At 43.7% G+C, this 27,189-nt stretch overlaps 1 long non-coding RNA gene across 1 annotated transcript, besides 1 other annotated feature; it reads left to right on the top strand.

Moving 5' to 3' along the window:
- The first annotated feature begins 1,494 nt into the window (after positions 1–1,494).
- LOC101928936 (uncharacterized) lies at positions 1,495–14,940 on the top strand. Its single transcript, NR_110867.1, has 3 exons — positions 1,495–1,684; positions 10,770–10,916; positions 11,304–14,940. It is a non-coding gene; the product is annotated as an uncharacterized LOC101928936 (long non-coding RNA).
- Positions 9,869–11,068: an enhancer, noted in NCBI's record as "CDK7 strongly-dependent group 2 enhancer chr6:89239515-89240714 (GRCh37/hg19 assembly coordinates)". NCBI's record gives its function as "activates an origin of replication core promoter dependent on BRD2, BRD4, P300/CBP, MED14 and CDK7 cofactors, with strong dependence on CDK7, by STARR-seq in HCT116 cells {active_cell/tissue: HCT116}" and the evidence as "EXISTENCE:reporter gene assay evidence [ECO:0000049][PMID:35650434]".
- Positions 14,941–27,189: the final 12,249 nt, after the last annotated feature.

Genomic DNA, 27,189 nt, shown 5'->3' with positions numbered 1-27,189 from the left:
GAAGGCAGGGGTGGTGAGAGTTGGAGCCTGCGTGTTCGGGGTCAAGCCCTCTATTCAGCCTGGTGCTTTGCAACTCCTGCCTGAGTGGCAGGCTTTTTGTCCAGAGGGCCCAGATAGAGTCTCAGGCGTGCGGCTTTCAAAGCCAGGAAGCTGGAACTGTGGCTTCAAGGCTGGGAGCTTCCCCTGCCTACTTTCCTAGCAACTCTCAAACAGTTCTCCCCTCAGTTATCCTGAATGGTGACTTTTGGGAACTGAGCACTTCTTTTGGCTATAAAGTGAATTCTTCCCGATGGTAATTTGTTAATAACTTCAATAAACCCTAAGCAGGTATTATTCTGTCACAGGTCCCCTTTGGTCCTCAAGATGGTGGATACATCTGGAGAAACCGCCAAGGGAGAGGGCAGAGGGAGGCCCTAACCCCTGGCAAAGGGTGGTTAATGGCCTCTCTGGCAGAGGAATCCTGCCCTCACTACCATGGCACCTCCCAATTAGCCTATGAGGGTCAGCAGTGCTGCTTTGGTCACAGAGGAAACCACGGACTGACGTTTAGTGACAAGAAGGAGGTTTGTTTCATGGAGAGCAGATTTGGGGTCCTGCGGCTCTCTGGGTTTCATTAACACCTTGGGCCTCATGACTGCTCCCTAAGTGACAGAGCTTAATATTCAAGGATAGTGTGATGGAAAATTGAGCCTGGCTTCTTTATGCCATCATGAATGTCTTGTTTCCTCCACTTTTTCTTTCTGTCTGAACATCCCCCTCCCACTGACTCCACTTTCCTTGACAGCTGTTGTCTCAGACTTAGTGTCTACAATGATGTAGGACATATCTGTAGCCCATACAAAGATGAGCTGCCATGTGGCTCTTCCTCAGCATGGAGTCACATTCAAAGTACAATCTATCACTTCAAAATACTTAAAAGTAACTCGAGTCTTCACTATAGCTTATTGAGAAAATGCTGAAGATACATACCAGTTGTAATGCACAGAAAACTAGAAATTCTTTCTCTCCTTCCCCCATACCCAATACAGCAGCTTCTCCCTACCCTACTGCAGTCTCTCTCCTTCCTTCCTCCTCTTGTTTTCCTAACCAGTAGGTGGGGGCCTGGCCCCGCATTCCCTGCTCTTTTACATATATACTCTCTGCTCTTTCTGAAACAAACCTAGCCCAGCTTTGAGGTTCTCCCCCACACAGCTTCTGTTATGTTCTTAGAAAAAGCCCAGAGCTCTCTCAGGCAGGGAAGAGGGCAAGGCTCTGAATATTTATATGTTAATATTTTTCCTTGTCTCATAGCTTAAATTCTTCCCTTCAGTTTTAGTTGTGTTTTATTGCAACACAGCTTCATTTCCATGATGGATGTCTTTGCAGGGGGTCTGCTTAGACATGGATCAGGCTCGCAGAACGGAATAAATAAGGCGGTGACTGACTTCAAGACATTGAGAACAAAAGCCCATGGCACACAACAGGAGCTAGTGAGTTGCTTCCAAAACCATTTGGACAGTTCCCTTTTGCCTCCAGAGTTATTTTTCCTTTTGCTCTCCTCTTTATTTATTTTCTTCCCCCATTCTCCCTTTTCTGTCCTTTCCGCCCTCCCAAGCTGTCAACAACAGCTCCCCTAGACTCTGCCTAGCACAGAATTTTGCTGACTTCTGAGAAATTCAAGAGGCAAACCTGCAGGGCAAAGAAAGTGAGTATAAATGTATACTGAATTTCATAGACAGGGAAAGGGAAACCCACCCTCACCTCCTGCAACTGGAAGTTAACACTTCCAGCCAAAGAGAAATGTGAAAATGAAGCCTTCACAGTATTGCAGACAAAGGAGAATGGATATCGTGCTTTTAATTGGTAAATGTGACACTGTCTCCCATGAGGATTGGAGTGGGATGGTGGTGACGGAGAGAGGGAAATGGCTCAGAGTAAAAAAGAAAAAATCAGACAGGGCGATTTTATGTGAAAAATGTAACTGTAGATGACATGATCACTTTCTTGGTACAGGAGGGATTAAACCACTTAGAAAGCATCTGTAAGGAGAGGTGGGATGGGAATACCAGGTCAAATGCTGCCCGAGGCACGTTTGAGGTCAGAAACATACTGGTCTGGGTCAGCCCCCAGTTTGCACATGGCAGCTTCCTCTAACTACGAACATAGCAGCTGTCTGATAATCACTGGCTATTGATTGACTAATTAATTAAACATATTCATGGTGTCATTTTAGGAAACTTGGGAAAAGAAAGGAGTGTTGCAGGGAGATCTGAAGCAAAGAAGAGCAGTTGGGAAGAAGCACATAGAATCTGTCTCCCTGCGCTCTGGGAAACGATTGCTCTCCTTTTGTAGCTGTAGCCACCACCATGCATCCCCTTCAAAGGGGTTTCCTCTGCTGTTGAGCAAAGTGGCCTGCCCCCCATTTCCCCAGGTTCTGCTGGCTAAGTTCACTTCTAGCCCCTCCATGCCCCTCTACCTCTGCCTCAGCATGTCCATGACAAGGACAGAAGCAAGCTGTGGTCTCAGGCCCCAACTGCCTCCCTCCTCTCCCACATTCAGAGGCAGTACCTACCATGGACAGCGGCTTTTGTCAGCGGCTGCCCACACTGGAAACTGAAGCATGACACCTCAAGCCTAAAAACCTTTCCTCATTAACACTTCCTCCTAAAGCACACTGCTGGCATCATCATAGGCATGCAAGCCATTTGCAGCCCAGGTGAATGAGGAGTTTTGGCTCCTCTTTATGTGAAACTATCTTTGTCATAAGGCTGGCTTGACAACAGTGAGATTTCCCAGTGAGGCTGTTCCCAGTTCCATTATGCCACTTGTCTTTGTAGCAAAAATGTGTTGTGCGCTTATTACATGCTTATGGGGCTAAGTGCTGAGACTAAAAAAGGTGAACCAGATCGCTTCCTGGCCTTTAGAAGTTCAGAGTCCAGACACCAATTCAAATTATTGCAATACCAATTCATGGCACCAGGTCTAATGTCGGCTCTGTTTAACAGGCTCCAGCCCTTCCAGGGCCTAAGATGAGAAAGGAGGACAAGCACTCCAGGCTGATGGGTGCCCTTTCTCCTTCCTCGAGACAGTTGATCTTATTTTTAGTTAATTTTGTCACTCTTAACCTTATTTTGCCATCTTGAAATTTTACCATCAGCTCCTCCCTTGCCTTTGCTCCCTCACATACAATCACCAAATTTGTTGGTTCCACCTCAGACATGTTTTTGGACTCTCTCCCATATCCTCCAACCCCTGGCCCCTCTTCCTTCCTGGCCTTGAAAGCTGACAGTGGTCAAGTGCCCAACTGGTCTCCTTGCCCCCAGGCTCTCCCTCCTCAGTCCTTCTGCCATCCTGCCTACATGGTTATTTTCCTAAAATACAAATCAGATTGCATCACTCCTCACTTAGAGACAATCACCGACTCTCAGCTTTCAGCGTGACTGGGCTTTGCACCATCTGCAGACACTTGGTGGAGGAGGGGGTATTAATGGCATTGCCTGGCCTAGGGAGAAATGTGAATGGAAGGGAAGGGGACTCAACCTCAGAACAGGATGGGCAACGGCAGGGCTCCCATCATGATTGCACATTGAGACCACCTGGGAGAGCTTTGATGCCCACAGATGCCAGAGCTGTTTCACCTCCCCACCACCCCCAGCCATTGGATTTGAGTCTGAAGGTGAGATCTGAGCACCTGTAGATTTATAAAGCTCCCTGGGATGAGTCCTGTCACAAGCCACTGTGCTGGGGACCTCAGCAGGCTCTGCATTTTGGGATGGATTATGTGCTTTGAAAAGGCACCCTCACATCAGCTCCACCTCATGGAAAGGGAGGTACCCTTGTCTCTCCATGGTCTTTTGGCTCATGGTCCCAAACCAAACAGTGACTGGTGGCCCATGAGTCCATCCCAGCCCTGATTTTGGCTCTGCAGCTCCCCAAGCTCTATCCATCTGATCTAATTTACCAAAAGCCAGGCTGTTTCACAGATAATATAATGCTTAACCAATTCCTCAGTCTCAGCGTACTCTGTTCTCTATAGGGAGTTAATCTACAACATTTTAGTTGTTTCCTTAAAATAGCATAGTGGTATATTTTATGAGCACGACTTGAACCAAACACAATCTTTGTTTGCTTCAGGCTTGATTTGGAATACTTCTTGATGTTCTGGGTTTTGCAATACTTCAGCAGTATTAGAAAATATTTAGATTTGCTTCTAGTTAACTAGGTGCTCTTTTAGGGAGGTGGGGATAAATCTCGTTGATCTCGTAGTTCATTAAAAAGAGTATTGTCTTTTCCACTCAGGGTTCAGCAAATGTGTGTGTGTTTGGAGTGGGGGTGGTTTTATTTGATTATTGGCATTTTAATTTACTTCTTATTAGGAAACACACGTTTCCTTTGATGGTAACCACAACAGTGCTGCTACACTAAACTACTCCATGGCTACAAAAAATGACAAAGTGTCGGAAGCCTCCTATTTTCTTTGAGGATGGTAGATAAGCCAAAGACTTTTAAATTTTGTTTTGTTACATAAGTCTCTGCTACTGGCCTCAGGCTAGTCCAAACAGCCTCATTATTCAAGTCAGGGCCAGCCAGGCTTTAGGCGAGGCTGCCTGGGTGGAAACGTTCTGCTCCTTCGTCTCCGTCCTCCGCACTTCATTGTGCACCGCCCCCTGCACGATCCAAGCCTAAAAATACCCCAGTTGTCCACAGAGCCTCGTCTCTGCTGGCCTTGCCTCTTAATGCAAGAGGCAAGTTCTGTCTTCATTGCCTTGCCCCTTCCCCCACCTCTTTCACCCATTTTTCCCACCTAATAATTATAAAGAAAACCATTAGCCATGAAACCTTCCCCTCCCCCCTTGCTCTTTTATCTACTTAAATATCCTTGACTGCGAGACATCGAGTACAGCACATTTATTAATTTTTAATCTGTCTCTTCTTGTGGTTACTGTGTTCCAGGGACTGAAGGACCTCGAACAATGGTCTCTGAAACCTTGGGCTGAACCTCTTTTGTTGTAGGCAGGGAGGTAGCTGAGGGCATAATGGAGTCTGATCAAATAAATATCTGTTATCTGAAATAGCCTGTTCAAGGTGAATATGGATTTTCATCACATTAAACTCAAGCTGGTGAGACAGGGTTTTGGGCCTGAATATTATTAGCAAACAGAAAAATAAATTTTGAGAGATGATAAACTGAAAGAATTATTCCTCGTGGGAGAGCTGTTCTGGAGGCAGCCCAGAGGACTCTGAGGGCAGACAGCTGCAGAACCACAGGGCCCCCTCATTGCTGGATCAGAGGAAGGAAGTCCAGGGAGGGCCTTATGGAGAAGCTCTTATGTGCTATTGGTGTTCCTGGGGGGCCTGCCACAACCCACTTCTCCTTTTGCAGTGCACACTCTCCTTGGAGGATCTGATCCACTCTACCCCTAACTGTCTGTGCCTCCCACAACTGGTTCTCCAACCTGCTTTCTCTTCTGAGCTGCAGAACCACATATGCAGTGGCTCCTGGGAATCCCCAGGAGGGAATCCCCAGGTAGTTCCAGAACAGAATTCACTCTCCAGACATCCCAGTCCTGCTTCAAGCATGCCCTTCTCCTGAGCATTCCTCTAATAATGGATGGTACCATTGCCTATCCATATTCATAGGCTGGGGACCTCGAAGCCTTCCTTGGTTTATTTTCTCCACTATTTTGCCCAACAATTTGGCTGTGAAGACTCCTAATTGTGTCTCAGACGCATCTCTCGAGTCCATCTGAACCCTCTGTTGTAGTTCATTCATTTTCCTTCCCTTGCCTGGAAGGGCAAATGCCTTCCAGCCGAGCTTTTCAACCTGTACACATGTTGCACTCTGGCCTGTCTGTACGCTACCATAAAGTTCCACAGCACATGTCCCATCAGGCCACGGATGAAAAACCTCCCAGGCTCTTAGAAGTCTACAGAATAAGGTCTAAACTCGTCTTCACAGCTTCTCAGACTCTTCACAGTCTGGTTCCAACCTGCTTTCTTAGCCTTATCTTCCAGCCTCAACCAGCTGCGCACTCTGTTGTCTACTTGCTGAGCTCACACAGCTCCCTAGATTCAAGTTTCTCCTACCTGTCACTTGAATTCGTACAATGGCTGATATGGTTTGGTTCTGTGTCCCCACCCAAATCTCATGTCAAATTGTAATCCCCACATGACAGGGGAGAGACCTGGTGGGAGGTAATTGAATCATGGGGGTGGATTTCCCCCAGCTGTTCTCGTGATAGTGAGTGAGTTCTCACAAGATCTGATGGTTTAAAAGTGTGGCACTTCCCCCTTCATTCTCTCTTTCCTGCTGCCATGTAAGACATGTCTTGCTTTCCCTTTGCCTTCTGCCATGATTTTAAGTTTCCTGAGGCCTCCCCAGCCACGCTGAACTGTGAGTCAATTAAACCTCTTTTCTTCATATGTTACATAGTCTCACGTAGTTCTTTATAGCAGTATGAAAATGGACTAATACAATGTGCCTACTTCATGCTAAGCAATGTGTTACGCACCATGGATTCAGAGAGAAGTGAGGCATAGCTCCTGGAAGGGCTCAGCCCCCGAAAGGGGAATACCCAAGAATAAAGATAATTGTAAGGAACACCAGGAAAGAGATAGGAACAGTCTGTAGGACTTCACTCAAGGGAGCTCATCGTTATTCCTGAGAGGGCCAGAGAAGGATTCTAGAGGAGTTAGCTGTTAAACTAAGACTTGAAAGACAAGTGCAGCCTGGGTCCAGTGGTTCACACCTCTAATTCCTGCACTTTGGGAGGTCAAGGTGGGCAGATCACTTGAGCTCAGGAGTTTGAGACCAGCCTGGGCAACATGGTGAAACCCTGTCTCTAAAAAAAAAAAAAAAAAAAAATACAAAAATTAGCCAGGCGCAGTGGTGTGTGCCTGTAGTCCCAGTTACTCAGGAGGCTGACGCAGGAGAATTGCTTGAGCCCAGGAGGCAGAGGTTGCAGTGAGCTGAGACTGCACCACTACACTCCAGCCTGAGTGAAACCCTATCAAAAAAAAAAAAAAAAGAGAGAGAGAAAGAAAGAAAGGAAGAAAAATAAGTGCAGAGGAAACAACCTAGGTAAAGGCACAGAATTATGAGATGGCAAAGCATGCCCTTGGAATGGTGAACAGGTCCACACGGCTGGAGTAGAGGGTGCCCAGGAGAGCAGAGTAGGAAATGAGGCTAGGGAGGGGGCTGGGGAAGGAGGAAGCACTGTGTATGTCAGGTTACAATGTTTGTACTTCCATTTCTATTCTTATTCACAATGAAAATGTGTTATCCGTATTCGTTTCCTGTGGCTGCTGTAACAAGTTACCACAAACTGGATGGCTCGACACAATAGGAATTGATTCTTTCACAGTAGTGGAGGCCAGAAGTTCAAAATCAAGGTGTTGGCAGGGTTGGTTCCTACTGGAGGCTGTAAGGGAGAACCTGCTCCATGTCTCTCTCCTAACTTCTGCTGGTTGCTGGCAATCCTTGGTGTTCTTTGTCTTGGAGATCCATCACCCCCACATCTGCCTGTCTTCACCCAGTATTCTCTGCTGTGTGCCTATGTCTAATGCCTGTCTTCCTGTAAGGATATCCTTCATTGGATTCGGATTCATCCTAGATCAATACAAGCTCACGTTACCTTAATTACATCTGCAAAGACTCTATTTTCAAATAAGGTCACGTCATCATCACCAGGAGTTAGGACGTGAACCTATCTTTTGGGGGAACACAGTGTAACCCACAACACCATCCTTGACGCCAACTACATAAGTGTTTTAATAAGGTGCATTAGTTCAGTTCAAAAGGTATCTATGGAGTGCTTGCTCCATGCCAGGTGCCCTTCAGTGGCACCAGGCATTGAGAGTAGATGTGGGACAAGCACCTTCACACAACGAGCTGGTTCATATAATGCAAGGTTCTTGATTTAATGAATCCAACCAGCACTGGAGTGTCTACTACAAGGTGAGCGATCCTGCTCTGTATTTCTCAGGACAGCCTTGGTTTATGCCAGTTGTCCTAGTATCCCATCGAGTTAGCCCCCACTCTCACTCTCATTCCTGATTTGAATGATACTTTTTATGGTTCCTAACAATAAGGGAGCTACTGTGTCAGGTGATGGAGATACAAAAGTGAAAGGGTGGGGATGGAGGGGTCCCTGCCCTCAAGGTCACAGCAGGAGGGAAGTAAAGAAGCAGGAGGGAAGTAAACAAGCATTTATAGTTCAGCATAACAAATACTCACCTTAGGCAGTGACAGGATGCCACAATAGCGCATAGGGGTTTCAACTGGAGGGTTCTTGTCAATTCATTGAAAATCAATTTAATGAAGAACTGGCTTACCTCAAACTGACAGAGAAAAAAACTTCTTCTAAGTCTAGGAGAGCTGGCTTGAGTGGCATTGCTCTGTGACCCTGCTTAGAGGAACCTCTCTCTCTCACCTTCTTCCTTTCTTAGTGTGGCCAAGAGCTGGGGTTGGGGTTGGGGGCATTTGAGCAGATGAAGCAGGACAGACATGCTGTGGAGCCAGCCTCAGCAGCAAAAGGCTATTGCTGTGGAGGGCCAAGGCCTCTGCCTATCTCTCTACAGGCTGGAGATATCAAAACTAAATATTGGGGCAAAAATCTCCAAAATCTGTTGAAACCACCTATGCACCAATATGGCTATAATCTCTGGAGATGGTTTGTGGACATTTTTGATAACTTGATAAGTTAGCAAATTAGCTTTTGGTAAACTGTTTTTTTGTTTGTTTGTTGTTGTGGCCTCTTAGTAGTGGAGCCCAGAAGTTCAAAATCAAGGTATTGGCAGGGTTGGCTCCTACTGGAGGCTGTAAGGGAGACCCTGCTCCATGTTTCTCTCCTAACTTCTACTTGTTTTTTTTTTTGTTGTTTTTTGTTTTTGCTTCTTTGTTTTTTGTTTTTGAGAACTGACTTTTGGAAAGTGGTAGGTTCAGGTCATTGGATATCAATAAAGAAAATATGGGACATTTGAGGCAAAATGGTTAAAAAGCTCAGACCATGGGTGCAGTTGAGCTGAGTTGGAATTCTGGCACTTTTATTTAATAGCTGTGTGACATGGCAGTCAGTTAACTTCCTGGAGATTGTTTCCCAAACTGGGAGAGCACTGTCTAAAGTTTTTAGAAGATTGAATTTGCTGCTATTTGTAAAGGCTCTTCATAGAATGCCAGGTTCAGAGCACATGGCAGTTGTTATTAACATTATTATTGTCTTACTAGATCAGTGTTTCCAATCCCAAATTATTGGCTGGCCAGTGCCTGAGGATGCCAGGGGCCTCAGCTGTTGCTGGGAGAGGGCTCAGGAGGGGAGACAGAATGAAGATGTGCAGTCATCCCATTGCTAGCTCTCTTTGTTACTGCGATGGGATATCCATACCTTGAAAAACATCTAAGGAGACTTCCTGTGTGAACCTGGGGGGACTAGTCCCAGCCCTAGAGATCCTGGCTTAGTTGGTCTGGGATGGCCTGGTTGTCAGGGTGGTAAACTTTTCCTCTGGTGATTCTGATATGCCGCAGAGCCTAAGAACCACCATACTACACCTAAGGGGCTTTGTCTGTCTGCCTCTCCATTTAGAGTGGGTCCATTCTAGGGTGGGGTGAGAAACATGTTGTTCCCTGCCCCTGGCCCCGAAACGGCTGGGAGAACCAGAAACTCGAGGGGTCAGTTTCAAACCTGATGCTGTTCAGGGCTGTTTGCAATGGATGAGGAGCAGAAGGGTTCGGGAGAGTACTCGACGCACAATACTCAGACCTCTCAGAGGGAGAGCTTGGCTTCCTCCTGCAGAACTGTGTTAAGAAGAAAATTCTCTCTTGGTTAGGTACAAAATGTTTGCCTTCTGAGGAGATAAATATGGCCTTTCACAGCAAGTGGAGAGCCTGTGCTCAGGCGCTTACAACAAACAAGCAGAGGTCATAGCATTCTGGTCTCAGATTTCAGCGATCTCGGTCTCTCGGGTTCCCCAAATTTCTCTTTTTCCTCCTTGGTGGTAATGCTCTCTGGACCCATAGCCTGAGGGCGAGTTAGAGGAGGGAGAGGGCCCTGTGCCTTCTAAATCCTCTGGGGCACCCAGCAGCCAAGTGTTAGGGCCCAGCTAAGCCAGTGTCAGTGCCTGAGCTGGAGAAGGCTGCAGCAAAGTCTGCCCTGAAGAAGAGGCCAGTGGGAACAGAGAAATAAAATCCTCCCTCTCCTTCCTTCCTGCCTGCCTGCCTGCCTGCCTGCCTTTCCTCCCTCCCTCCCTCTCCTTCCTTCCTTCTTTCCTCCCTTCTTTTGTTCCTCACTTCCCTTCCTTCCTTCCCTCCCTCCTTACCTTCTTTCTGATTCACGGCAGGATGAGAGTGTCTCCAAATGCAAGGTAATGCTACCTTTTACTTTGTAGCACTTGTGGCTTGATCTTTGGACTCCAGGGGTACTTAGGAAGATGAAATCAATTCCACTGAAATCTCCTTTCTTCCTCAGGCTTCTTACCTGCTCACTAAGACAAGTTCTTTTGTAAGAGGGAGGTTTTAAAAGTCTGTTAAAGGACATTACCAAGAAGGCAGACCTATGAATTTACAGCCTTTTGGGATCCTCCTAACACTGTGCACTCCATGAACTTCTTTGGATGGTAGCTCAGAAGGTGGGATTATTCTTCTTATGGGATCTCAGCTGCTTTGATAGATCAGTAGCATAAAAAATGGGGTCACATAGGGTAAAAGAATGAGAGGAATGAGGCAGACCTCAAGCGGGGCCTGGGAGATTGGAGTTACCTGCCATGTCTTTTTATTTAATTTTTCTTCAAAACAGCTCTACATGGTGAATTGGTACCTGACCTTCTTTCATAAGAGGGAAAACTGGGGCATGGAACTTGTCAGTGAAGCTCAGCATGCTACAAGAGCATCTTGGTTTGTCCTAGTTGAGGACTGGAAAATCTCAATCTCTAGTCAACAAATGGTGAGTTCTCTCTCGGCGGCTGCAATCAAAATGCCAGCTTAGTCAGGGCTGCATCCCCGGCAGGTTGATAACCAGTCCACCCGGGGCCTGCCTGTGCACACAGACACACTCTCCACCATGAGGCACAGACAGACCCTTGTTGTTTGTCTGCCTTTATGACATAAATCTCAGAGAAATAGCCAACATCAGACAGAAAAGACTTCAGAAAGGGGATTTTCTAAAACATGTAGATACTGGAGAGAATAAGCCCAGTGTCATTTTTATGGCAGGGCTCTCCACAACAAAGAAAACAAAGAGCTAAGGTTTTTAAATTTTTTATTTATTTATTTATCTGTGCTTATTTGACCATGCTTTCTCTGGTCTTATTTCTTGCTGGCCATGCCTCAGAGTGTTCCTACCCAGGGATGGCCTGCTTCTGAAGAGGCACAGTGATTTGGCATAGCCCGCAAGAGCAAGCATCAGCCTGGGAAGAGGACTGATCCCACACCCACCCACCCACCCACTCATTTATTCAGTGCTCTACATATCGCCAAGTGCCTTCTATGTGTCAGGCAAGGCTGAGACCTGGCTCCCACTCATGGCTGCTAGGTGGTGAAAACTCAGCTTCTTCGCCCCGTAGAATGGTCAGGAAGAGCCCCGTGCAGCCCCATTGAGAAGGGGCAGGATGAAGGAGCTGCTTCCTCATAATGACATTGTCCAAGAATGACCATGCTCTTCAATGATGCTCCATCCAGCCCGGCATTGTGCAGCTATGTGGATGTTATTATTCTATCTTGTGAAAGGACACGGTGAATGCTGGAATCAGTGAATCATCCGAAGAAATGAGAGGTGGAGTGGCTGGGCGGGTGGAGCCACCGAGCTAGAGATGTCCTTTGTCCTCACAGGCAGCTTTGGCCGTAGTACTGGGTTTGAAGGGAAGTGGAAGTGACACGTACCACCTCTAGGCCATGGCCTTATGACACTGGGCACTTGCTCCTCTATCCTCTCATCTCCCTTCCTGTGGGCTGTGATGGATGGGCAGTGTGACCCAGACTTCGTCATGCCTGTGAGGCTAACACTGGGGATGCCAGGACCTGAGATGGAGAACCTGGGTCCCCAAAGAGTGTGTGAAGTGGAACCTGCCGCCAGTCTAGACTGCTCACCTCTGCTGTGTGTGAGGCAAACACACTTCTGTCTTATTTAAGCCACTGACCTCTTGGGCCACTGTTACAGCAACTTAGCCTTTGCCCTACTAATATAAAGGGGTGAAAGAGCAGCTCTCTCTTCCTTTTCTGAGTTTAGAACCAATTAAGAGAAGAATAGTGGACCCAGAAAGATGCAGAGCAAAATACTGTGTCTGTTACTGCTAACACTGGGCTGGAAAATGCAGCATTGCAGCTGTGGCCATGCAGGCTTGCTAATACCTTGCTTTTGAGTTAGACCTACCTGCCTAGTCCCTGTCGCAGCTGACAGCTGCTGGTACTGGGGGCATATGAAGGGGAAGAAATGGTGCCTCCAGGAAGGAGAGAAGAGGCTGAGCCAAGGAGCCTTGTTTTTTCCCTCCCAAACTCACCAATCAGATAGATCTTTTCTCCTCTTCTGGGCAGAGTAGGAGAGGCAGGTGGGGAGAGGTGAGGAGGCTACCATAGTCAAAGGCCTCTCCCAGAATGTGAAGAATGGTGAGCCCCCCTCACATGACAAATGCCCTGAAGTGGGCACTGGTGGGGCTGCTACCAAGGCCCCTGTGCAGGAGTTAGACCACTGAGCATTCTCTAATCTTGGGTGAATCTGCTGGAGGGTTTCAAACAGGGGTTTGGGATGGGTCATCATCAAATAGTTTCATGAAAATCAACTCTGTTCCTCCATTTCTGATGACTTATCTGTGAGCACGCTGGCATGTGTGGGGCACAAAGAGTTCCAGGTGTGCAGATGGGTGTGCATATTTCCGTGGAGGGTTGAATGCAAGAAGGAGCAGGTCTTCTCATTTCTTAGATCAGTGAGTTTTTGAGAAGTGTGAATCTCTACCTGTTTTGTTTTTCATTTCAGGAGCCCAGATACATTTAATACTTTTGGTACTGGGGCTATTGATAAAGACGAACATCTTTCTAGGGCTAATGAAGAGCAAGCTCGCAGGCCCTGCACATGTTCAGGCCTCAGCATCTCTAAACCAGAGGTTGTGCAGCCCTGGAACTGGTTTCCCTGTCTCTGCTATCTACCCTCTTTAACACAGTGGTAGCAGAGTGTCCTTCTAAGACCAGGTCTGATGGTATTCACCTTCTCCAAAACCTCTAAGGGCTTTCCATGTCCTAAAACATGAAGTACAAATCTCTTGTGTGGCATTAAAAGCCTGCCCTGATCTGGCCTCAAAGGACATTTCCAGCAATAATTCCCCTTGGCCCACTTTAAGTTTTGCTCCACACTCTACTCAAGCTGAAGTACCTTCCCTCCCTCCCTCCCCTTCTTTCCTTCTTTCCTTCCCTCCCTCAGCATTGGGAAAGACCTCAACATCTTGGATTATGTGATAGTCTCCTAAGGGGTCTCACTGCTTCTACTTTGACCCCCCTACTGTCTATTCTTACCTCAGCAACCAGACCAATCCTATTTAAAACCTAAGCCAGGGGGAGGAGCCAAGATGGCCGAATAAGAACAGCTCCAGTCTACAGCTCCCAGCATGAGCGAAGCAGAAGACGGGTGATTTCTACATTTCCATCTGAGGTACTGGGTTCATCTCACTAGGAAGTGCCAGACAGTGGGCGCAGGTCAGTGGGTGCAGTGCACCGTGCGCGATCGGAAGCAGGGTGAGGCATTGCCTCACTTGGTAAGCACAAGGGGTCAGGGAGTTCCCTTTCCTAGTCAAAGAAAGGGGTGACAGATGGCACCTGGAAAATCGGGTCACTCCCACCTGAATACTGCGCTTTTCCAACGGGCTTAAAAGATGGCGCACCAGGAGATTATATCCCACACCTGGCTCAGAGGGTCCTACGCCCACGGAGTCTCGCTGATTGCTAGCACAGCAGTCTGAGATTAAACGGCAAGGTGGCAGTGAGGCTGGGGGAGGGGCGCCCACCATTGCCCAGGCTTGCTTAGGTAAACAAAGCAGCCAGAAAGCTCCAACTTGGTGGACCCCACCACAGCTCAAGGAGGCCTGCCTGCCTCTGTAGGCTTCACTTCTGGGGGCAGGGCACAGACAAACAAAAAGACAGCAGTAACCTCTGCAGACTTAAATGTCCCTGTCTGACAGCTTTGAAGAGAGCAGTGGTTCTCCCAGCATGCAGCTGGAGATCTGAGAATGGGCAGACTGCCTCCTCAAGTGGGTCCCTGACCCCTGACCCCTGAGCAGCCTAACTGGGAGGCACCCCCCAGTAGGGGCAGACTGACAACTCACACGGCTGGGTACTCCTCTGAGACAAAACTTCCAGAGGAACAATCAGACAGCAGCATTCGCAGTTCATGAAAAACCACTGTTCTGCAGACACCACTGCTGATACCCAGGCAAACAAGGTCTGGAGTGGACCTCTAGCAAACTCCAACAGACCTGCAGCTGAGGGTCCTGTCTGTTAGAAGGAAAACTAACAAACAGAAAGGACATCCACACCAAAAACCCATCTGTACATCAGCATCATTAAAGACCAAAAGTAGATAAAACCACAAAGATGGGGAAAAAACAGAGCAGAAAAACTGGAAACTCTAAAAAGCAGAGCACTTCTCCTCCTTTGTTCCTCACCAGCAATGGAACAAAGCTGGACGGAGAATGACTTTGATGAGTTGAGAGAAGAAGGCTTCAGACGATCAAACTACGAGCTACAGGAGGAAATTCAAATCAAAGGCAAAGAAGTTAAAAACTTTGAAAAAAATTTAGATGAATGTATAACTAGAATAACCAATACAGAGAAGTGCTTAGAGGACCTGATGGAGCTGAAAGCCAAGGCAAGAGAACTATGTGAAGAATGCAGAAGCCTCAGGAGCAGATGCGATCAACTGGAAGAAAGGGTATCAGTGATGGAAGATGAAATGAATGAAATGAAGCAAGAAGGGAAGTTTAGAGAAAAAAGAATAAAAAGAAATGAACAAAGCCTCCAAGAAATATGGGACTATGTCAAAAGACCAAATCTACATCTGATTGGTGTACCTGAAAGTGACGGGGAGAATGGAACCAAGTTGGAAAACACTCTGCAGGATATTATCCAGGAGAACTTCCCCCATCTAGGAAGGCAGGCCAACATTCAGATTCAGGAAATACAGAGAATGCCACAAAGATACTCCTTGAGAAGAGCAACTCCAAGACACATAATTTTCAGATTCACCAAAGTTGAAATGAAGGAAAAAGTGTTAAGGGCAACCAGAAAGAAAGTTCAGGTTACCCACAAAAGGAAGCCCATCAGACTAACAGTGGATCTCTCGGCAGAAACTCTACAAGCCAGAAGAGAGTGGGGGTCAATATTCAACATTCTTAAAGCCAAGAATTTTCAACCCAGAATTTCATATCCAGCCAAACTAAGCTTCATAAGTGAAGGAGAAATAAAATCCTTTACAGACAAGCAAATGCTGAGAGATTTTGTCACCACCAGACCTGCCCTAAAAGAGCTCCTGAAGGAAGCACTAAACATGGAAAGGAAAAACTGGTACCAGCCGCTGCAAAATCATGCCAAAATGTAAAGACCATCAAGACTAGGAAGAAACTGCATGAACTAACAAGCAAAATAACCAGCTAACATCATAATGGCAGGTTCAAATTCACACATAACAATATTAACTTTAAATGTAAATGGACTAAATGCTGCAATTAAAAGACACAAACTGGCAAATTGGATAAAGAGTCAAGACCCATCAGTATGTTGTATTCAGGAAACCCACCTCACATGCAGAGACACACATAGGCTCAAAATAAAAGGATGGAGGAAGATCTACCAAGCAAATGGAAAACAAAAAAAGGCAGGGGTTGCAATCCTAGTCTCTGATAAAACAGACTTTAAACCAACAAAGATCAAAAGAGACAAAGAAGGCCATTACATAATGGTAAAGGGATCAATTCAACAAGAAGAGCTAACTATCCTAAATATATACGCACCCAATCCACGAGCACCCAGATTCATAAAGCAAGTCCTGAGTGACCTACAAAGAGACTTAGACTCCCACACAATAGTAATGGGAGACTTTAACATCCCACTGTCAACATTAGGCGGATCAACGAGACAGAAAATCAACAAGGCTACCCAGGAATTGAACTCAGCTCTGCACCAAGCGGACCTAATAGACATCTACAGAACTCTCCACCCCAAATCAACAGAATATACATTTTTTTCAGCACCACACCACACCTATTCCAAAATTGACCACATAGTTGGAAGTAAAGCTCTCCTCAGCAAATGCAAAAGAACAGAAATTATAACAAACTATCTCTCAGACCACAGTGCAATCAAACTAGAACTCAGGATTGAGAAACTCACTCAAAACCGCTCAACTACATGGAAACTGAACAACCTGCTCCTGAATGACTACTGGGTACATAACGAAATGAAGGCAGAAATAAAGATGTTCTTTGAAAACAGTGAGAACAAAGACACAACATACCAGAATCTCTGGGACGCATTCAAAGCAGTGTGTAGAGGGAAATTTATAGCACTAAATGCCCACAAGAGAAAGCAGGAAAGATCCAAAATTGACACCCTAACATCACAATTAAAAGAACTAGAAAAGCAAGAGCAAACACATTCAAAAGCTAGCAGAAGGCAAGAAATAACTAAAATCAGAACAGACCTGAAGGAAATAGAGACACAAAAAACCCGTCAAAAAATTAATGAATCCAGGAGCTGGGTTTTTTGAAAGGATCAACAAAATTGATAGACCGCTAGCAAGACTAATCAAGAAAAAAAGAGAGAAGAATCAAATAGACACAATAAAAATGATAAAGGGGATATCACCACTGATCCCACAGAAATACAAACTACTATCAGAGAATACTACAAACATCTCTATGCAAATAAACTAGAAAATCTAGAAGAAATGGATAAATTCCTCAACACATACACTCTCCCAAGACTAAACCAGGAAGAAGTTGAATCTCTTAATAGACCAATAACAGGAGCTGAAATTGTGGCAATAATCAATAGCTTACCAACCAAAAAGAGTCCAGGACCAGATGGATTCACAGTCGAATTCTACCAGAGGTACAAGGAGGAACTGGTACCATTCCTTCTGAAACTATTCCAATCAATAGAAAAAGAGGGAATCCTCCCTAACTCATTTTATGAGGCCAGCATCATCCTGATACCAAAGCCGGGCAGAGACACAACCAAAAAAGAGAATTTTAGACCAATATCCTTGATGAACATTGATGCAAAAATCCTCAATAAAATACTGGGAAACCGAATCCACCAGCACATCAAAAAACTTATCCACCATGATCAAGTGGGCTTCATCCCTGGGATACAAGGCTGGTTCAATATACACAAATCAATAAATGTAATCCAGCATATAAACAGAACCAAAGACAAAAACCACATGATTATCTCAATAGATGCAGAAAAGGCCTTTGACAAAATTCAACAACCCTTCATGCTAAAAACTCTCAATAAATTAGGTATTGATGGGACGTATCTCAAAATAATAAGAGCTATCTATGACAAACCCACAGCCAATATCATACTGAATGGGCAAAAACTGGAAACATTCCCTTTGAAAACTGGCACAAGACAGGGATGCCCTCTCTCACCACTCCTATTCAACATAGTGTTGGAAGTTCTGGCCAGGGCAATTAGACGGGAGAAGGAAATAAAGGGTATTCAATTAGGAAAAGAGGAAGTCAAATTGTCCCTGTTTGCAGATGACATGATTGTATATCTAGAAAACCCCATTATCTCAGCCCAAAATCTCCTTAAGCTGATAAGCAACCTCAGCAAAGTCTCAGGATACAAAATCAATGTACAAAAATCACAAGCATTCTTATACACCAATAACAGACAAACAGAGAGCCAAATCATGAGTGAACTTCCATTCACAGTTGCTTCAAAGAGAATAAAATACCTAGGAATCCACCTTACAAGGGATGTGAAGGACCTCTTCAAGGAGAACTACAAACCACTGCTCAATGAAATTAAAGAGGATACAAACAAATGGAAGAACATTCCATGCTCATGGGCAGGAAGAATCAATATCGTGAAAATGGCCATACTGCCCAAGGTAATTTACAGATTCAATGCCATCCCCATCATGCTACCAATGACTTTCTTCACAGAATTGGAAAAAACTACTTTCAAGTTCATATGGAACCAAAAAAGAGCCTGCATTACCAAGTCAATCCTAAGCCAAAAGAACAAAGCTGGAGGCATCATGCTACCTGACTTCAAACTATACTACAAGGCTACAGTAACCAAAACAGCATGGTACTGGTACCAAAACAGAGATATAGATCCATGGAACAGAACAGAGCCCTCAGAAATAATGCCGCATATCTACAACTATCTGATCTTTGACAAACCTGAGAAAAACAACCAATGGGGAAAGGATTCCCTATTTAATAAATGGTGCAGGGAAAACTGGCTAGCCATAGGTAGAAGGCTGAAACTGGATCCCTTCCTTACACCTTATACAAAAATCAATTCAAGATGGATTAAAGACTTGAACATTAGACCTAAAACCATAAAAACCCTAGAAGAAAACCTAGGCATTACCATTCAGGACATAGGCATGGGCAAGGACTTCATGTCTAAAACACCAAAAGCAATGGCAACAAAAGCCAAAATTGACAAATGGGATCTAATTAAACTAAAGAGCTTCTGCACAGCAAAAGAAACTACCATCAGAGTGAACAGGCAACCTACAAAATGGGAGAAAATTTTTGCAACCTACTCATCTGACAAAGGGCTAATATCTAGAATCTACAATGAACTCCAACAAATTTACAAGAAAAAAACAACCCCATCAAAAAGTGGGCGAAGGACATGAACAGATACTTCTCAAAAGAAGACATTTATGCAGCTAAAAGACACATGAAAAAATGCTCACCATCACTGGCCATCAGAGAAATGCAAATCAAAACCACAATGAGATACCATCTCACACCAGTTAGAATGGTGATCATTAAAAGGTCAGGAAACAACAGGTGCTGGAGAGGATGTGGAGAAATAGGAACATTTTTACACTGTTGGTGGGACTGTAAACTAGTTCAACCATTGTGGAAGTCAGTGTGGCGATTCCTCAGGGATCTAGAACTAGAAATACCATTTGACCCAGCCATCCCATTACTGGGTATATACCCAAAGGACTATAAATCATGCTGCTATAAAGACACATGCACACGTATGTTTATTGCAGCACTATTCACAATAGCAAAGACTTGGAACCAACCCAAATGTCCAACAATGATAGACTAGATTAAGAAAATGTGGCACATATACACCATGGAATACTATGCAGCCATAAAAAATGATGAGTTCATGTCCTTTGTAGGGACATGGATGAAATTGGAAATCATCATTCTCAGTAAACTATCGCAAGAACAAAAAACCAAACACCGCATGTCCTCGCTCATAGATGGGAATTGAACAATGAGAACACATGGACACAGGAAGGGGAACATCACACTCTGGGTACTGTTGTGGGGTGGGGGGAGCGGAGAGGGATAGTATTGGGAGATATACCTAATGCTAGATGACGAGTTAATGTGTGCAGCACACCAGCATGTCACATGTATACATATGTAACTAACCTGCACATTGTGCACGTGTACCCTAAAACTTAAAGTATAATAATAAAAAAAAAAAAAGAAGAAAATCTGATTGGGTAGAAAGGATTTTGTACCTGAAAACCACCAACTGTGTGTAGTAAATAATCAAAATGATGATTATTTATGGGTCAAAATAAAACAAAAATATTGTATTATAAAATAAAAAATAAAAAAATAAAACCTAAGCCAAATTTTGTCAGTCTGCTCAAAACCCTCCAATAGAAGGCTGCCAGATTTAGCAAATAAAAATACAAGACACTCAATTAAATTCAAATTTCAGATAAACAATAGTACTTTTTTAGTGTGAGTATGTTTCATGTAATATTTGGGATATGCTTGTACTAAAAAAAACTATTTTCTACTTGAAGTTCAAATTTACAGAGCATTCTATATTTTGTCTTGTGACCCTCGACCAATGATTTCCCATCTCGCTAAAAAATAAAGGCAAAGTCTTTAAAACAGCTCTGTATGATCTGGCACTTCAATGTTGTTCTGACCTCATCACCCTCACTCTCCACCTCCTCTTCCCTGGTCCACTGCCCCCCCGATGGCTCCTGGAACACACCTAGCATGTTTCTGCCTCAGGGCCTTTGCACTTGCTGTCTGTACTGCCTGGAACACTGTTCCCTTCCAGATGGCCACGTGTGTCTTCCCCTCACTTCCTGAAGCACTCTGTCCACATGCTGTCTTTTCAGCGAGTTCTTCCTGATGATTCTGATAAACTCCCACTCTCCAGGTTCTGTCTTCTCTTACCCTCCTTTCCTGCTTTTTCCCTAGAGCACCGATCGTTATCTGGCAGACATTGGATTTACTTGTTGATTTCCTCATTGTCAGTCTTTCTCTTCAACCCTAACTGGAATACAAGTTCCCTAAGAGCAGGCACTTGTTTAATACAGTGCTGTAATCCCAGTGCCTAGAATAGGTCTGCCAGAGTAGGTAATCAGTGAAGAGATGGTGAATAGACAAATAAATCAACAGACAGAGAAATTTATAATACAACTCTAGGGAGTGATAAGTGCTACAGAGACAAATTAAGCAGAGCAAGAGTAGAGAGTGAGGGGTGGCACTCTCTCCTGTGAGCTGGGCTGCTCTGAGAAAGTGGTGTTTTAGCAGAGACCTGACTGAAGTTTCAATGAAGCCCTTCCACCTTCAACCTTACTTGTGTTCTTTGTGCTACCTGAAACCACCCTCTTTCTCACCTCCTTGGGTATAAGTTCCACCTCAACTGCTTAGATAGTGTGGCCTTTAGACCTTGTCTTATGAACACATCAATAAAACCAGGCTTTCCCCTTCATTCTGCCTACATAACTGACAGAGAGAACACTGAGTGAGCTGGTGGGAGTGATGAGGGATTTATTTTTCACATGTCTTAAACTCTGCAGTTGCTGCTGTTTGAATCACGCTGACAACCTCTGGCAAGGGCTTGGCATTTTAGTGCCCCTCTGGGTTCTGGCTTGACCTAGGCAAGAAGGACTACGAAGTTTCTCTGAAACTGCTCTGTTTCTCCACTTGGTATCGGCTGCCACAGTCAAGGGCTTTACTCAGGAAACCAAAATAAAAGTCATGTTCAGTGAGAGTCACATCCTGGGAGTCTAAGGTTTCTTATCTTATACATTTAAAACCAACAAACTCCCTTCTCTCAATAAGGACCATCTGGAAGATAGTCGTTTTGAAGCTTAAAAAAAAATCTAATGCTTTAATCTTCTTAGTGTCTTCAAACATCAGGTCTTCTTTTTCAAACTCAGCTGGGGGATAACGTTCTTTATCTGCATCTGCGTTGCTTGCTGAGAGAATATGTCCCTGGAATTGCACACAGAAGCCTTACCTCAGAAAGTGTTGCTTTAGAGATTTCAGAGAAGCACGGTGTTAAACTCCTTCAGCAGATGCAAAACCCCTCGGTAAAACTGCAGGATTAGCGTCTCTGTTGGCGGGAGCTTTCTGTCTCTCAGTGAACTTCAATTTTGTCTTCTCTGTCTCCTCAGGATTTGTCAGATATATTTTGCAAATTTAAATGATAAAACAGTTGTGTGAAGAACTTTCTTATAGCTTCCAAATATTGCAGAAACAGAACAGCTTTGCTCTGAATGAGAAACCCAATAACACAAATTTTATTTTCATTTCATTTTCTCTTTGGCTGTTCTGGGAATTTATATTGGCCATTTAATTTTGCTGTTATGGTTTTATAAGGATATTATCTCTGTGTACAATAACATTTTTAAAAAAAGAATTGTAAGTTGTATTAAAGCTTTAGAGACTACACTTCTAAAAGCTGAATATTCTTATCATTTTATTTTCCATGTGAATTTTGAAAGTCATGGTCTTTTCGTATTGGTACCTGAAGGTAAATCAGAAATGCTGGAATTTTCTTCCATCTCATTATATAACTCCTGAGAAGCCGCTTTCCTAATGATAACAAAATAGTGTGTGTGAAGTAAAGAATATTTATGTTTTTGTTTGGAATATGATTAGAATTCAGTTAAAGATATATGGGACGGATGACCAAACATTGGTGAGCATTCACAATACGGTTGGAATAAATTTATCTATCTTCTGTTTATATTTACATGATCAAAGCTTATTAATGTATGATTCCCTCTTGATCAGAGGCATGACTATATTATATGAATAGTTGATAAGACCAAATTTATAACCTATAAAGAAATATTTATGGAAACTCAAATGACTTTCATTTATTAAAGGCCAGAATTGGAGGCAGACATAATAATAATAACTATTATTTATTAAATATTTACCTCATAAGAGGCACAATGTTAAGTGCTTTACATGAATTATTGTATTTATTCCCCAATTAGTTGAATTCCATTATCACCATTTTACAGATGAATTGAGACTTAGAAAGTGTGTTACTAGGGTCACATAACTGACAAGGGGTAGAACTAGAATTTGAACTCTAGAGGCTTAAAGCTTAACCACTATGCTATAATGCCAACCAGCTTTGGAAAGTCATGGAAGCAGAAATACAATTCATTATTTAAAACAATTTTGTTTTCCTGCCGAGAATTAGAGTGACATTCCTGCTTCTGAGTAGAATAGTATATTTTCTGCTCTCTCTAGGACTTGAAAACTCAATTCTAGCCTTTTCAAAGCTCAGTGCTCAGCTATTTTAATGAACAGCCAATACTTACCATTCTGTTACAACATAACTGACATTTGCAAGTCAAATAATGCTTAATGATAACAGAAAAAAAAATATGAGAGAGGCAAGGAAGCACTGCCCCATGAAGAATTGATGATGTCCAAGGTCACAACTCAGCAAAGCTCAATCAGAGCTAAGTTTCCAAGAGATGACTCATACAGAGAAAATGTGTACAGGACACAGAATTTGTGAATAATCGGAGTATGAGGAGAAATAGAAGAGTCAGCAGAATGAACGTGTGGTTATCTGGTCAGGGCTCTGAAGATGTCTTGGTAGCTCCTGCATGTCTAGCAGAATGCCTTTCATATCACAGTCACTCAATCAATACTTGTTGAATAAGTGGACGAAGAAAACCTTCTAATCTCACAGGAGGCCCGGTATCAGCAGATTCACTCGTGTCACAGTATGAACAACTTTAAAAGATACTTAGAAGATGTCAAGAAGAAAGCAGAAATGATTGGTAAGAATGGTTTTCTTGATCCTCAGTTTCAGAGAAAAGAAGGACTTGGGGAGGGGGAAATAACTAGTAAACAAACAGAAATGGAGTTATCACCATAATTATAATGCCTGGTTAAGTCAACTTTACTTTTTTTAGAGTAGAAATGGATGATTTTAAAGTCTAGAGAAGCCCAGACAGGTTGTTGACAAAGTTTCACAGTTGGCAAGATCATTACAAAAGATTTTATGGATCTGAGAGTAGATGAAAGACACTAATAAGTGATAAGTAGACTAGAACATCCCCAAAGGGCAAGATCAATGTGTAAAATAAAATCAATAGGTAAATTAGACAGTCATCCGCAAATGCCCTTCTGCAGAATATTGGTATCCAACTAATAAAATGATTGTAATGTTTTCCTAATGTGCAGAAAAATAAGTTGAAGTATAACTTCTTCAATTGAACACTCACTTCTCCTCCCTCATTGAATTTTTTCTTAAAACTTCCATATCTACTATATGAAAGAATGGATAGAAATGAAATATTATTGGAAAATTTCAGGAAAAGATAATAATTACTAATCTAATACTTTGATCTTTATGGGCATGTGTTTATTCTTTTTGTGATTTTATATTGTATATATTTTTTGCTAATAAAATTTTTCTTTGTTGGTGTGATGAAAGGTCGGTTTTGCTAACCGCTGCATATTACATTCGCATATGTAGTTTCTGCTGTGAACCAAGCCACTTCAATCTCAGAGGTTCAAAACAAGAAACATTTATTACTTGCCATGATTCTGTGGCTCGGTTCTGGTCTGGGTTGCTTTAGCTGATCTCTGCTGAGCTTACTCATGCCTCTGTGGTCAACAGGATCTGCAACATCCCATTGCAAGGACATGCATGTAGGGAAAGGAAGAATTTGTGGCAGCTTAAAAAAAAATCTATGCCAATCTGCAATATGGATAAGCCTGGACTAGCGTGCTACAGAATGAGAGGCATGTGAAGAACTAAGCCAACTCAATGGGCAAACTACAAACTACCTAACATGTGAATGGGGCCACCCTAGATCATCCAGCTGCTCAGCCAATTTGCAGGCTCCTGGGAAGTAATACGTGGTTGCTGTTTTAAGCCATTAAGTTTTGGAGTGGTTTACTGTGCAACTATGGTAGGTTGAAATGTAACTTTCTGCTGTCTTAAGGTTGTGTTTTTTTGGAAACAGACTCTGAGGAAGATTTTCATGCATGCAATTTATTGAGGAATGCTCTTGGGACTATCTGTGAGGGTATGAGGGAAACAGGATTGGACAGAAGCTACAAGAGTGACCTTCGTCAATCTCATGGGAGCTCTGAATATGGAAGGAACCCTCAGAGGTATCTTTCATTGAGATAAGGAGTGTGAGTCATTGGATTGGAGGGCCCCTGAGGGAGTGGTGTAACCTGAGATTAGGAAACTCACCTTGGCAGAGGGCAATTCCTGGGGAGGGTCTCAGCTGTGGCTATCAGCAGCCAACGCTTCCACGGGATGGGGAAGGAGTGCTTTGGTCCTGGAAGAAGGATCAGGGCCATACAACACAGCATCCACTATGGTAATGCTTCCCATCAAAAGATGGAGTTTATTTCTGGACTGGCCTTATGACTTGCTTTGACCAATAGAATGTGGTGGAAGTGACATCGCAGAGCCTAGGCCTCAAGATGCTTTGCAACTCCTGCTTTTGCCCTTTTGGAGCCCTGAGCCCTGATTTTATCTTGTAAAAAAACCTGGGCTGGCCATCTTTAGGATGAGACCTTGTGGAGCCTGTGGCTGGCACTAACCACCAGAGACACCTAAGCCATCCCACTCCAGTCAAATTGCCAGAGACTTCAGCTATATGACAGATCCCAGGAGAGACCAGAAGAACAATGGCGCGCTGAGTCCAGACCAAACAGATGATCCGCAGAATCACGAGAAAATAAAATTACTAACTTTTGGGATGGCTTGTTATGCAGCAAAATATAATTGATACAGCAGAAAAATTGATACCTAGAAACAGGTTGCTGCCGGAAAAAAACTCAATACATGTGCCATTAGCTTTGGGGCTAGGCAGGGGGTGGATCTAGAAAAGTGCAAGGAAACTGTTGGTGAAGACTGGAAAAATGATGAAAACTATTTTTCAAAGTTGGGAAGGTGGCAATACATGTAACATAGTAGCAAAACAATTGTCAAAAATATTGTATGTAGTAACTTGGAAGATAAAAAATATACCTAACAAAATTTTGTATTTGGTTAAGTAGATTATCAAGTAAAATGCTGGAAGTGTCAAGATGCTTGTGAATGTATATAATAAGATATTGCAGGCTGGGCACGGTGGCTCACGCCTGTAATCCCAGCACTTCGGGAGGATGAGGCGGGCAGATCACGAGGTCAGGAGATCGAGACCATCCTGGCTAACACGATGAAACCCCGTCTCTACTAAAAAAAAATACAAAAAATTAGCCAGGCGTGGTGGTGGGTGCCTGTAGTCCCAGCTACTCGGGAGGCTGAGGCAGGAGAATGGCATGAACCTGGGAGACGGAGCTTGCAGTGAGCTGAGATCGTGCCACTGCACTCCAGCCTGGGTGACAGAGCGAGAGTCTCTCTCTCAAAAATAAAAAAGATATTGCAAAAGAGGGATGAGTTAAAGAAGGACTCTTTACTTTGCAAGCAGAATTGAGGGGGAGTTAGAGAGCCCAGGACTTGCTGGTCTGGAAAATAAAACAGTTTCTCATCCCCAGACTCCAGACAGTAAAAGATTTTCAAAGTAAAAGGAGTCCTGGTGCTAAAGGTCAAATCAAGAGTGTATCTATAAGATTCTTGGTTTATGCTTCTGAACAATTTAAGGTAATACTTATTAGACCATGTCAGCTAGACAAAAGAACTTCCAAGAATCTTAAGGCATTATGCTACAGTAGCTTAACATGCTGCTTAAAGTAAAAAGGGCCTACCTGGAAAAGAATTGTGGATGTAGCTTTTGTTAAAGGGAGTGGACCATAATCTGATTCATGAAAAGCCCATAGATATTTTAAGGGAGTTATACCAACCAAAGAACAACACATTTGTTCTAAAAAAAAAAAAGAATGAAATTGCTTAAATTGCAAAGAGATTTCTGGCCTCCCGATTTTCTCCATGTTGAAAGCAGTTGTCAAGAACTATAAAAGGGCTGAGATTTTATTCTACTTACATGCTAACATATTGTGGGTATTGTCAAAAGACATGGACCTCCAAGGTCAGAGACTAAAATAAAGGACAGTTTATTATTCATGGCATGACAAGTAGCATGAGCAGGAGTGTATTTGTGCTAGTTCTCTGAGCTGCAATTCCCATATGGTGATAGAAAGAGAGCCATGTGACACGTGCACATGCAATGGTTTGCAATATAGGAGAGGAACTCTGAAGTTTGGGAATCTGAATCTTTTATATTAGGCAGTAGGTATGCCTGCCCATTGTCTCAAAGGGACACATTACCTCTATCTTCTAAGGCTAAAGCAAACCTGCCTTTTGCTCCAGAGGGCGACATTGTCTCTACATTCCAAGACTGTTCACTTCACAAATATCTTTAAACAAAAGATAGCTCGGAACAAAAACAGTCAGTGATGCTACTTGTAAGATGTACAGAAATGCAAAAGACCCATGGAGAATTATCTTCCCACCGTAGGCAGCTTCAAACATAGGCCATTCTGTTGGAAAAAAGGGAGTATATCTCAGATGGCTAATTCAAAAAGCCAAGAGCCCAGAGGGTGAAGCCACAGTCTTGAAGGGCAATGGACTAGACATCCAGTCTCAAGGAGAATCAGAGAATAACAGTCTGGGGAGCTATTCCCAAGGAGCAGAACTGGGCCCTAATCAAGAAACATTCTCTGCCTCCACAGCAGGGGATCCTGACAACCTGTGCTCCATTGTATTTCACAATTGCCATGGACTGGTGACTGGTAGGGTACTTCCCATTCTTTCCCTTTTGGAGT

The sequence above is a fragment of the Homo sapiens genome, chromosome 6 (genome assembly GCF_000001405.40).
Source record: "Homo sapiens chromosome 6, GRCh38.p14 Primary Assembly".
In the NCBI taxonomy this organism is placed as follows: domain Eukaryota; kingdom Metazoa; phylum Chordata; class Mammalia; order Primates; family Hominidae; genus Homo; species Homo sapiens.
This window is presented reverse-complemented; position numbering and strand designations above follow the sequence as displayed.